The sequence below is a fragment of the Homo sapiens genome, chromosome 1 (assembly GCF_000001405.40).
Source record: "Homo sapiens chromosome 1, GRCh38.p14 Primary Assembly".
Classification (NCBI taxonomy): domain Eukaryota; kingdom Metazoa; phylum Chordata; class Mammalia; order Primates; family Hominidae; genus Homo; species Homo sapiens.
In genome coordinates, this window is record NC_000001.11 from 84,242,386 (window position 1) to 84,256,432 (window position 14,047).

The 14,047-nt window shown below is 38.2% G+C and overlaps 1 pseudogene, besides 2 other annotated features; it reads left to right on the forward strand.

The window, feature by feature from the left end:
* NEDD8P1 (NEDD8 pseudogene 1) lies at positions 1,866-2,462 on the forward strand (annotated as a pseudogene).
* Positions 11,561-11,855: an enhancer, noted in NCBI's record as "tiled region #3408; K562 Activating non-DNase unmatched - State 23:Low". NCBI's record gives its function as "activates a minimal TATA promoter and a strong SV40 promoter by Sharpr-MPRA in K562 cells {active_cell/tissue: K562}" and the evidence as "EXISTENCE:reporter gene assay evidence [ECO:0000049][PMID:27701403]".
* Positions 12,224-12,822: an enhancer, noted in NCBI's record as "OCT4-NANOG hESC enhancer chr1:84720292-84720890 (GRCh37/hg19 assembly coordinates)". NCBI's record gives its function as "activates a minimal SCP1, AML or CMV promoter by ChIP-STARR-seq in naive H9 embryonic stem cells {active_cell/tissue: H9 hESC(naive)}" and the evidence as "EXISTENCE:reporter gene assay evidence [ECO:0000049][PMID:30033119]".

Here is a 14,047-nt window from a genome sequence, read left to right on the forward strand (position 1 = left end):
AAGAATGGTTTTTATTTTCCTGACTGGACAACCAATTGACATTTCCAGTGTTACCACTCCCTTCTACGTTGTACTGAATAATCCTAGCCATCACTCTATGAAAAGAAACAACAATGGTAAAATGAAGACCATTCCAAATGAAAGAGAATATTTACTACCAATAGATTCTCATTAAGGAATTCCAAAATTGTGCTTTAGGAAAATGGTCCCACAAAGAAGAAACAGCCTCAGGGAAATCTGAAGGAAAGAAATAAAAAAAGAGAAACAAACCCCCCAAATAAACATCATTAGGAATAAGAATTTAGCTACAGAATAGCTTGTAAAACTTAGAAGAGAATTGTGGTCAGGTTAAAACTTTAAAAACACAAACCCATCCTTTCCTCCCTCCACTCTCCCTCCCCAAACACGCTGATACAATGATAGAGCATGTTTTAAAATATCTTTAATGACATACATTGCACTCAGAACAAGATAAACGTCTCCAGACACCAGACGCAGAATGGAAATGGTGTTAAGTGGTGGCTGAAGCCACAGACACTAATATACAGAAAAGGCTTTTATTATAGTGAGATAATTTCAGCAAATGCAAAATAAAAAGATTAAAGAAAATTCAGAGATGGTAATGGATATTGAAAACAAAGATGATCCACAGTTAGTATAAGAAGCTAATAAATACAATAGAAAAATTATTCAAATATATCATACAGAAAGTTCATCTCCAAAATGAAAGAAGAACTAAATTTACATGCTGAAAGAACACCTGTTTTTCAGGAAAAATTGACATACTGCTTTCAACACCAAACCATATTCTGGTGAAGGTTTTGCATTTTAACAATTAAAATATTATGCATAAAAATCAACCCCCAAGACTGGGGGTGGGGGTGGGGAGGGAACCAGGCTGGCCTCAGAAGTCTCCACAATAATATTCCATGCCAAAAGATAATTACATAATGGCTATAAAGTTCTAGGGAAAAGAAAGTATAAGCCAAGAATATTATACCCAGCCAAGTTGCATTTAATTTAAAGGCACAAAGCAGACACCTTTAAATATCAAAAAGAAAAATTATAGAAAACCAAATGAAGAATGTAGTAATATAGAAGCAGTGATGTAAAGCTTGTGGTAAACTCTGAATCTGTCTTAATGTAGTTCTAATTATAAGCACCTATGATGATTACAATCATAGAACTGAATGTAAATGTTTTAAACCTTGGCAAACTTAGAATAATATAACTAACAAAGTTGGAAGGTAGAGAAAGAAAGAAGTGAGAGAAGGTAGAAAACTTCTAACATCCATACATTTTATAGCAGGATGTCAATTAATGGAGTCTAAAATTGAAGTGGATTAAATAAGATAATAACTCTAACCTCTCAATTTTTTCTTTATGGTTTTGTAATTTTTTTGTGAGGAAGGAACATATATAAACAGTTTTCATTTTCCCTTCAACTTCTTTTCCTTGCGTTAAATTTATTTTCATTTCAGTTTTTTCTAGTGAATTAGATTTTGTAATATAGACAAAATTAAACTGAACACTTTATATTAAAAAGTATAAGCCAGGCGCCAGTGGCTCACGCCTGTAATCCCAGCAGGTTGGGAAGCCAAGGCGGGTGGATCACAAGGCCAAGAGATCGAGACCATCCTGGCCAACACTGTGAAACCCTGTCTCTACTAAAAATACAAAAATTAGCTGGGCTTGGTGGTGTGCACCTGTAGTCCCAGCTACTCAAGAGGCTGAGGCAGGAGAATCACTTGTACCTGGGAAGTGGATGTTGCAGTGAGCTGAGACCACGCCACTGCACTCCAGCCTGGGCAACAGTGTGAGACTCTGTCTCAAAAAAAAAAAGTATAATACAATTTTATAAAATCAGTGCTATCTGGAAGAGCAGCAGTGGCGACCGGAGTGGTAGGAGCAGCAATTTATCCGTGTGCAGCCCCAAACTGGAAAGAAGATGCTAATTAAAGTGAAGACACTAACTGGAAAGGAGACTGAGATTGATATTGAACCTACAGACAAGGTGGAGTGAATCAAGGAGCATGTGGAGGAGAAAGAGGGAATCCCTCCACAACAGCAGAGGCTCATCTACAGTGGCAAACATGAATGATGAGAAGACAGCAGCTGATTACAAGATTTTAGGTGGTTCAGTCCTTCACCTGGTGTTGGCTCTGAGAGGAGGAGGTGGTCTTAGGCAGTGATGGACCCTCCATTTTACCTCCCTACCCTGTCGCTCGTAATGAGGCATCATATATCCTCTCACTCTCTGGGACACCAGAGCCACTGCCCCCTCCCTTGGATGCCCAGTAATGTATGTCTACTGGTGGGAGACTGTGAGGACACCAGGATTCAGTATTCCTGGCCCAGAGGGCCCTTGCTGACTATTGGATGTTAGTTTGGAGTCCTGTGTGCTTCTCTCTCTTATGGCTGTGTCCCTGGTTGTCAATAAAATATTTCCTGGCCTCCTGGAAAAAAAAAAAAAATTAGTGCTATCTAGTTAGGTACCTCTCTACCTCTCTACCCTTCTGTCTCAATATGTGCACCGAGAATAGTGTAATAATGTTATCAATGGTATGAGATTTGAGGTTATTTCCTAATTCTTCCCTTATACCTTGTTGAGTTGTTTGCATTCTTTGTAATGATAAAGTAATTAATCAAAGATAAAAATAAACACGCCCAATAACAGAGCATTGATTTAATACATTTTTTTTAGATCATCAATCTTGTAAGAGTCCTACTCTTAACAAGCCATTTTCACCAGAGTTCAGTCTTAAGAAATCTTGATTCTTTAATTTCTTTTTTTTTTTTTTTTTTTTTTTTTGAGACAGAGTCTCGCTCTGTCACCCAGGCTGGAGTGCAGTGGTACAATTTCGGCTCACTGCAACCTCGTACTCCCAGGATCAATTGATTCTCCTGCCTCAGCCTCCCAAGTAGCTGGGATTACAGGCATATGCCAACACTCCTGGCTAATTTTTTTGTATTTTTAATAGAGATGGGGTTTCACCATGTTGGCCAGGCTGGTTTCGAACTCCTGACCTCAGGTGATCCATCCTCCTCAGCGTCCCTAAATGCTAAGGTTGCAAGCGTGAGCCACCGCACCCAGCCTGATCCTTTAATTTCAAGATGGAAAATGTGATACTACATCATCAATATGCTTTTGTGCAAGCCACCAGATGTCACTAAAATGGCTTCTCTAGCATTATTATTGCCATGAAGAAATGTTTCCTCTCATTCTTCATATCTCAAACTCGTGAGAACCCTTTCTTTTAACAGCCAGACCACCGTCATGTGAGGGAAAAAAAAAACCCTCTTATCTTCACTGCCAATTTCTTCACCACAATATGCTAAAAACACGTAATCAACACAACCAACTTTTTATTAAAGTTTTTACTATTTTTTAAATAGTGAGTCAAAGTCAGGAAGCACATGGCTGAGTTGGACTGTTTTCTGTCAATAAATCATGTGGTTAATTGGACATCCAAAAAAAAGCCTCTTTTATTCAAGTAGCAATGTCCTTCTTTGTCACTTACTTATCTGTTGATAACCTTATTCCTGTTTATACCATGGTTCAGAAAATAATCACTAACCAAACAGAAGTTTTTTTCCATGTGATAAAAAGCTGCTGAGTGTTTTTCCTTCATATATCACCAGCTCCTAAAATCCAATTCAGAATCTACTCATCAGCCATCTTACCTAGCTTTAAGGTAAAAATACATTGCTCTAGATTATATGCCACTGATAAGCTTTTTCTAATTTTGCTTTCCCTCCATAGATATCACTTGTCAGTTATTTGGGACTGGTTTTACAGATTTCCTAATAATAGTGTGTCCAGTACTGATTTTTGCTAAGGAGTTAGACTTTGAATCGTGCTTTTGTACTTCTGGAATTGATAGTGATCAAACACACTCTCCCTAGCAAGTGGCGGACCACACAATGAAAAGTCGTTTTTGCAAAAACAGAACAGCAGCTGACTCTCATAACCAGGAAGGCTGAGGAGGGACTTCTGTCCAATAAGATCTAAAAGATCAGAAGATATAATCAGAACTCTGCCTTTCTCTCTCCACCTCTGGGCCATGCTTTCCTCAGAATTGACTTCATCCTCAATAAGCACTCTCCATGGGGCAGAAAATGAAACCACCAGCTACTCCAGACTCACACTTTCAAAAGAGTTTTGGTCCCAGTTAAAGGAGAAGGAAGTCTCCTGCACTATATCAAGCCCGAAAAGGGACTCTGATTGTCCAGCCTGGGTCAGAGCCTGCTTCTGTGGCTGGACAAAGAGAAATACATGATTGAAAGCCTCATCAGAATTATGTGCATTGGGAGAGGGGTAGTCCTCCAAAGAAAGATGTGCTGGTCAGACAAGAAAATAGCCGATGTTCACTAAAATCTCTTCTTCACCTTTAAAAATAAAACCCAACAATTTTGTATAGAAAATAATTATTTTAAAATAAAATAATTATTTCCTGTTGTTTTGGGAAAACTTTATGGGTTGATGAGGGTGATAGATGTAACATTTCACTGATACCATACCACTTGTTAAGAAATTATCCTAATAAACAACATGATGGATGAGAAGCAAATAATTGCCCAATCCTACAAGATCTTGCTCTCAAATATTTATGACTTTTTCCTCCTCCTCCCACTTTTATTTTTCTACCACTTGTGAGAAATCATGAAACTCAAAGATTTGTTTCTCCTAATACATAGATTCAAAATTAATATTCTCAATAGAATCAGCTTCACAATTTAGGATTTAAAAATTATTATGAGTTAAAAGTATCAATTTCATTATATTCATCACCACTTTTATCTTTTAATAAAAATTTTGAAGACTTTTTAACAATAAGACATTTAACAATAACGTAATTAATGTGAAATATTATTCAAAACAAACTATACTTTGTTAAGTGAATGTTATTTTAGGGAAAATGACTAAACACTTGTGGGACATTATGGCAGTTCTAAACTTGTTTGCAGATTCTTTGACATTCCTCCTATTGAGAAGAGGGGACATTTCTCCTATTTTCCCTCCCTTTGAACGTGTGCTTACCTTGTTGACTTACTTCTAACCCATATAGTGCAGGAGAAGCAATAGTGTGACTTATAAAAGCTGGGTCATAAAAGAATAATACAGCTTCAACCTTGTTTACTGAGATACTCTAATTCGGAGATCTGAGTCACCATACAAGAAGTTCAACTATCGTGCTTACGTCAGCAGCACATATACTAAAACTGAAAGAAGTTCAACTATCGTGAAGCACAATGCTGTGAGAAAGCCCAGGCCAAACGTAGAAGCCGTACATAGTATTCACAGCAGTAGTATCTTCATGTGAAATCTGAACCAATGGCCAGCATATGTAAAGATTCCTCCAGATGATACCAGCCCCATCCGTTGAGTCACCCCCAGTGGTCAGTGATCCCAGCTGAGGCCTCAGGCATCCTGGGGCAGAGATAAGCCATTTCTTTTGTTACCTGTTTAAATTTGCGATCCATGAAATTTCTAAACATCAAAAACTGATTGTTTTAAGAGGCTAAAGTTTAGAGTAATTTGCTAGGCAGCAATAGATAAGTGGAACAGATATGCCGAACTGTTAAGCATGTAATGGGTAAAATGACAGTAAAATTCTGTTGTGTACACATCAGCTGGGCAAAAACTGAACAGCCTAATGATATAACTATAGCAAAGACGTGGAGCAATCAAAAAAAGCTCTCATACGCTGCATTGGAAATGTAAATTGGTCAACCATTTTAAAAGGAAAACTTGGCAAAATCTAGTATTAATAACATTGCCTAAGCACATGTCCTGTGACCACATGTTTCACTTATAGAAATATAGCCTAGGAAAACTCATTTGTCTACTAGGAGATAGGTATTTAAAATGTTCTTTGCAAAATTATTTGTAGTAGCAAAAAATTGGAAGCAATCTAAGTAGCCATGGAAATGAAAATGAATAAATAAGTAGAGGTAAATTTACATGATTAAATTATATACAGGTGAGAAAATAATGAATTAGACCTACAAACATCAATATGGATAAACTTCAGAAGTATAATGCTGAATGGAAAAAAGATAATTGCAGAAAATTTTCTAAATATACAGTTTATGTAAAGTTTGATTTCTTATGAAATAAGACTATTATTATTACTATAATATTTAAGGATATACATATATGTAGCAGCATAGTGGTTAATTAATTGCAAAGATTATGAAGCCAAACTAACTGGGTTCAAATTGTACATGAACACCAACTGTGTGTCTGTGGAAGAGTTACTTAATCTCTATGGACTCTTCTCACCAGCAAAATGGACCAGCCTAACCAACGTGGTGAAACTCCGTCTCTACTAAAACCACAAAAATTAGCTGGGCCTGGGGGTGGATGCCTGTAATCCCAGCTACTCAGGAGGCTGAGACAGGAGAATCACTTGAACCCGGGAGGCGGAGGTTGCAGTGAGCCGATATCGCACCATTGCACTCCAGCCTGGGCGAAGAGAGTGAACTCCGTCTCAAAAAAAAAAAAAGGGAATAATAATAATAATAATAATTATACCTATCTTATAGAAGATATAAGAAGTTAGCATTTTTAAAGCTCTTGCAAGAGTGCCTGGAACATTAAAGTGCTCCTTTGGCTAATATTGTAAATTGAAAAATTAAAAGAAGTGCATGGAAATGATAAACACCAAATGAAGGGTAATGGTTACCTATAGGGTGGAGAAAAGAAAAGAAATGGAGATGAAACTCAGGAGCTGGGGGCACAGGAATTATCCTGTGTATTATTCTATTTTATTTTATTATTAGTGCTTCCTTTCTTAACCCGGATGACACATATAAGGATGTTAATTGTATTTGTGTACATTTCTGTGTACCTTAAATATTTCATAATAATTATTGAAAACAACAAGGACTATGAGATTTCTGGGAAAATCTTAACCAAATGATCATATTAAATCTAAAAAATGACACTTCTGGACTGAGACAATGTGGAAATGCTTCTATCAATAAATAAAAACATAGAAATGCTGGGCAAAACAGAACAACAGCTCAAATGCTCAGAAATTTTCAAAAAAAAAATAAAGAAAATTTCCAGGTGCTATAAGTGAAAGGGGTACTCAAAGCCATGGTGCAAGCCAAAGCTGATACTCTTGTGGTTCATGGAGATAGTGAAGTGGCTAGAAGCTCTAGGAACTGGCCATTGGAGTTTTATTGCCCACTAGGTCAAAAGATGTTGCCTTAGGCACACACAAAAAGAGTAACGGTGATGGATACTTGTGCATTAAACTTGCAGTCTAAAAACTGAATATCAATGAAAAGGGTACTAGAAGTATCCAACCTTCATCCTTGGCCAATGGCAGAAAAGAAGTTTGTCATTTGGTGGTAAAGGTAGGGAAAAAAAAAAAAAAAGTTCGAGAAATCACATCTCCAAGCCTGGAACTTACAGAAATATGGGATCAAATGTACAGTGTGAGACTTCAAGCAGAGCAATTGATATAGACACTTGTCTGGCTAGTTAAACCCCTTTGTCAGATACAAATGCAAATTCTTATGATGGTCATGCTTTCATAACCCAATATTTCGCCTGAAAAAATAAACCTAAAAACTGATGTTAAAAAACTTGCAAATCACATAAGGAAATCAACTATCATAAGGGAAAGTTGGCAAATATAAAAAAAAAAAAAAGGAAATCAGCACTCCAAAAATTTGAGGAAATAAAACAAAAAACAAAGTAATTTATCTTACTAAATTTTTAAAGGATGGAAGACTGGGAAAAGAACCAAATGGAAATTCTAGAAACAAAACATAACCATTGGGAAGTAAAACAGAAGACTATTGCGTAGCTACCTATACACAAATGAAGACAGATCTTGCAAACTGGAAAGAAATGAATAAACAACTCAAATGCAGCATAGAGAGGTTAAAAGTGTGTAAAATATAATAGTTTAAGAGACTTGTAGGATAAAATACTTTCTAGTCCTGCTGTTATGTTTTCACCTGAATTTCTTGTCCTTGAACTCCTGTTTCAAACCCACTATTTCTTACATTCTACATCTTTCACATATTTATATTGGTTGTTTTCCTCCAATCTCCAAGCAACTGTGTGAAAAGTTACCTCTCTCATTTTTTTTACATTGTTTCACCTTCTATTCACTTGCCTTTCCTTGATTCAGATTCCTAATATGGTTTTATTTGCCATTTACATTTTTTCTACTAATTGTTTATGTTCTTTGTTCTAATTTGTGTTTGGGTTGTCTTTCGCAAGAGCTATTTTATGTATACCAGAGAGTAATCTTTTGTAGTACATATTGCAACATTTTTTCCAGAATATTATTTATTTTTAAATTTTGTTAGTGGAGCATTTTGCTTCATAAATTTTAAATTTATGGTTTAAGACAGATCTAGTGGTGATGAATGCTTTTAGCTTTTGTTTATCTGCAAAAGCCTTTATTTTTCCGTCATTTCTGAAGAACAGGTTTGCCAGGTAAAGAATTCTTGGTTGGCAGGTTTTTTCCTCAACACTTTGAATATATCATCTTATTCTCTTCTGGCCTGCAAGATTTCTGCTGAGGAATCCCATAATAATTGAACTAGGGCTCCCTTGTATGTAGTATGTTTCTTTTCTCTTGCTGCATTCAGAATTCTTTCTTTGTCTTTGAATTTTGATAGTTTGATTAATCTCTCACTGAACTCTTCCTTGCGTTGAATTGATGGTACATAAGGAGAACTCATTTTTTTTAACACTAGAAACATTTTGTTTTGTATTACAAGCAGAACAATGGTTCCTCAAATATGCCCATGTCCTAATCCTTGAAATCTGTGAATATATTGCTTTACATGGCAAAAAGGAATTTGCATATGTGATTAAAGTTAGGAAATTTTATTTTATAATTTCAAAATTTATTTTATAATTTCAACATTTATTTTAGATTAAGGAATATGCACGTAGGTTTGTTACATGGCTATATCGTGTAATGCTGAGGTTTAGGGGTGAATGATCCCATCACTCAGGTAGTGAGCACTGTACCCAATAGGTACTTTTTCATCCCTTGCTCTTCTCCTCTCCTCCCTCTAGTAGTCCCCAGTGTGTATTGTTCCCATATTTATGTCACGTTTACCCAGTGCTTAGCTCCCGCTTATAAGTGTGAACATGCCATATTTGGTTTTCTTCTCCTGTCTTAATTCACTTAGGATAATAGCCTGATTATGAAATTTTAGATGGGGAGATTATCCTGGATTTTCCAGGTAGGCCCAGTTGAATCCTATGAGTTCTTAATAACAGAGAACCTTTCCAGGCTATGGTCAGAGATAGATGTGATGCTGGAAGAAGATATAGAGAAATTCTGTGTTTGTTGGTTTTCAAGATGGAGGAAGGGGACCATAAAACAAAGAGAGCAGGTGGTCTCTAACAGCTGGAAAGGGCAAATAAACGAATTCCTCCCTAGAGCCTCCAAAAAGAACCAGTCCTACTGACACCTTGCTTTTAGCCCAATGAGACCCATGGCAGATTTATGCCTTAAGAACTATAGTAGATCTGTGTTGTTTTAGGCCACTAAGTCTGTAGTAGTTCTTATAGTAGCAGCTGTGTACTAGCTGCAGTCTGAGAGAAGCGGAGTTATGATATTGACATGTAGCCCTGCCGTAAAAAAATATTTCCACACTTAAAATTGCATAAATTTATTTTTGGTTCTCAACCTTTTAGAATCAACCTACATATAATGTAAAATAAGACTAAAATATGGTTACAGAACAGAAGATAAACATTAATGATCCAAATGACAGAAATTACAAGGTGGAAGACGTAACAGATGGAAGAGGGCCTCTGTCTTACAAAATTAGAGCTCAGAGACATCACTGAACGTTAATAGAACAAGAAAGAGATATTTAAGTAGGTATGAAGTTACACAAAGGTATCCACAAAAGAACTAAAGATATTGGTGTTGACTATTAAAAATAATTAGGATGAAGAAGGAGAGGGGGACTTGGGGATATAAGATAATATCTAGAAAGGAAAAATCAGCAAATAGCAATATGAATGTAATTGAGTCACAAAGTTTATTTCACATTTCACTCAGGGCAGAGAAAATGTAGCTCCTTTACTTTATCCCTTATCAGTCTGGCTTTTCTCCCAAGCCCCCACCAGCTGGCTAAGGGAGGAAATAATTAGTGTTTATACTATTCATTTTCAAGCATAATCCAGTCTGATAAATCAAGCATCTTCTTAGAAAATAGTCTCTCAGAGAACACCTCTTCCACCTGACTCTTCAACTAAGATGACATGTTTGCAGGTAGGGAGAGGGCAGGGTTTATCTGTATATCCTCATTGCATGGGGGAAAAGGGGCCTTGCCTTGTGCTGGACTTTGGGAGTGACTGGCCAGCATCTGCAGCTGTTTGGCATAAGACCCATGTATGCCCTGCATTTTTCATTTCCTTTGTTAAGCTCTTCCACATGCCAGGCACTATGCTAGGCACTGGTCTAAGTCATTGCACTTTCCCATAAGTTATCCCAGTCTGCTTCAGGCCCCTTGAGTTCCCCTTCCTCTCAGCTTACAGCATGTTTTGTCCACACTAGACATTTGGCTGACCACTGCAGTGGTTCTCAGGTACAATGGCTCTGAGCACATGAATGTACTGTCATCTGTTGTGAGACAGCAGTTGGTATTTAGTTACTAATAACTAAAACACCAAAGATCCTCATTGATTTATTGTGATTTAACATTAAAGCAGATTTGAGTAATCCCTTTAACAGCATTTTCCTAGTTACTTGCATTCTAGTACAACACACTTTCCTGCATGGGCAAAAAAAGAATGATAGCTATGGCCCCACAAATACCCAGGGGAGTGTATCACACATGAGATCACCATCATTGTGTGCGTGATTGTAGATATGTGTGGAATTGCTGACGTGCTTTTTTGAGACAGCTCCTGTATTATCACATTGCCTTTTCCTCACTGTCTGTGTCACATCAGGTAGTGTGAACCTGGCAGGCAGGGGCTGGGTCTTAGGCCTCTTTGGATCAACCTGCAGTTTCTTCACATAATATATAGTGACTGATTGCCCAAATGTTGGGCTGAGAATACTCTGAACCCATTGGCCCAATAAGGTTATAAGTGGGTGGGTAATATTAGCTGTTGATTCTGGTACACAAACCCCAAAATTTGATTTTTACAACTGTATCAGCAGTAGCAAAAATGGAACAAGCATGGACTTTAAGATAGCATCTCCCTAGAACCATATCTTGGCTCTATCATCTACTGGTTGTGTAAAATTGAGCTAGTGACTTAGCCTCTCTGATCCCCACTCTCCTCATTTGTAAAATGGAGATTAAAAATGCTAATACAATTAAAATACATTTAGAAAGGAAAACCATCTAGAACATGTCTTGGTTCATAGTAGGTATCCAGTGGACATTCATTCTTTTCTCTTTCCCTCAAGGAAGACAGGTAGATAATATGCTCAGGGACACAGGGAAGATAAAACTTCAAAATCAAAAATGTGGCGTTTAGTAACTATGTACGTCCAGGATCTGGTTTTTCTTTTCTGCACCTGGCATCTGCCCTACAGTTGGACAGACTGAGTGCCTGGGGGAGCACCCTTGAGGCTGATCTTCGGCCCAGCTCTTCTAGTCGGTCTACAGGCTTTGCTGGCTGGGCTCCCTGTGAAGACAAGTGCCCCTTTATGCCTGTTCCTTCCATTTTTAGACGGATGACTAATCCTGTCTCCGTCTGAGAGAGCAATGCTGTGTAAACTGTGGTCCTTGCCCAGATCTATGACTGTATTGCAGAATCCTGCAAGGTTCACAGGGTGCTGGCACTTCCTGAGATGGCATCACCATGGGATTAAAAGCCTGACCTGGAGTGGCCTTCCCCTGTGCACTCTACACAGGAGGCTTCATACCTGGACAGGAACACCTGGGAACACCAAGGAAACACGGAGGAAATAAGCAAAGCCAAATTCCACTCCTGTTAACCCTTTTATCCCTTCTGAAAAATCCCCTTATATGAAACATTAGCCAAGGGTTGTTATTTTGTCTGGGTTATGGGGAAAATCATGTTATTCTAGAAAGGAAATGAAGTGGCATCTCTTGGCAGCCAATTTTGAATTCTGCATTTGAAATCACTCGAAGCACTTCTGCGGCTGGTGGAATATAGCAACTTGTTCAAAGAGAGGAACGAGAAACTCATCAAAGAATTACACCTCCTTGGGGGTAATTTTGATCATAAACAGGACAGATGCCATCTGTCTAGTATGACTTCATTCATTCACTTGTTCATTCAGAAACATTACTAGGCATGTCCATTGTGAGGGCCCTGTGCTAAGTACTCCTAATACAAAGACGCTAAGACACAAAGATGGGAGACATGCATGTGAACAAAAAATTAAAGTCACATGAGATGGGTGCAATAAAAACTCATAATCAAAACACAGTGATAGCCTGGAGAAAGGGCTGTGGAAGTTGCATCAAGGAAAGAGTCAGGGAACAGTTCACAAAGAGCTGGCCTTTTGTTTAAGGATGAGTAGGTCTCCATGCATATCAATGAGGAAGGGCATACCAGTCAGAGAGAACAGCAAGTGTTCTCTTATACCCTTATGTATAGGGAGCTGCAACTAATGTTCTGTAATACTGGAACACCAGATAGCAATGAGAAAGTGGTAAGAAATTAGGTTGGAGGGTAATGCAGAGTCATATCATAAGAGGCGTGGAATGCCATACTAAGGACTTTGGACTTCATCCTGTACATTGTTGGAAACCACTGAAGGATGTTAAGTAGAGGAGAGACATGATGTGATCTGAGCTGCCTTTTAGAGATTAGGTTGTTTTATGAACTGAATGTGTTCCCCAAAAATTCATAGGTTGAAATTGAATCCCCAATGTGATGGTATTTGGAGGTGGGTCCTTTGGGAGGTGATTAGGTCATGAGAGTGGAGCCCTCATAAATGGGACCATTGCCCTTATAATAAGAGGCTTGAGAGCTAACTGGCTTTCCTTCTGCCATGTGAAAATAGTAATAGTCATGTCTTCAAGTCTGTAACCTGGAAGAGACCCCTCACCAGAATCTGACTGTGAGGACACTCTGATCTCAGATGTCCAGCCTCTAGAACTGTGAGAAATAAATGTCTTGTTTATAAGCCACCCAGTCTACAGTGTCTTATTATAGCAGCTGAAGCTGACTGACTAAGGCAGGCTGAAATCAGAAAGAAGAATGGATCCTAACAGATGAATTAAAAGAGAGTTGTTATAATCCAGTAAAGAGGTAATCAAGGCCCTAGGTAATGTGCAAAGAAGGGAATGGATTGCAGGAGTTGGAGACCATTGGATTAGCAAGCAAGAGACTCTCAGGTTTTAGGCTTGAGCAGCAGGTTTGTATAGGGAGATAATAAGTCAGTGTGGCTGTCCAGCATGTAGTTGGAGATGTTGTTCTCAGCTTATCATAGAGGTCTGGCTGGACTGATAGGCTTACAAGTCATTGTGCACACTACATTATCCTTAGACATAATGTGATCATTTCCAAGGGGAGCAAAAAGAGCAGAGGTTACAAATGGACAACCCAAGGCCAAATACAGCAGCAGATATGTTTGGTTTGGCCTGCATAATGCCTTGAAATATTTAAATTCATTGCCAACATTTAAAAGTTGGGGGACATATTAAAGAAAATCTAAAGTTTTAGCTCTTCCAAAAAAATCAGATCTGGCAATGCTGGGCCCACATTCTCACATAGCAAAAATGAGCATCCAGTTCAACACTTGTGTTTCCCTATCCAGCTTCACTCACTTACACTGCCTGTTGGCCCCTGTAGGTCTGAGTTTGCAAAGAGAGGGCTACAGAAGAACAATAATAAAGAGGCTTTAGCAATAGAAGGCCCCCCACAAAAATGTCCATGGCCAAATCCCCAGAATCTGTGAATAGCTTATGAGGCACGGCAAAGAGCAAATGAAGACAGCAGATGAGATTAAGGCTGCTCATCAGCTGACCTTAAAACAGGGAGAGTATTCTGGCTTCCCCAAGTAGGCCCAATATCATCACAAAAATCTTTAAGGAGGACTTGGCCCGGATGTTGCTGGCT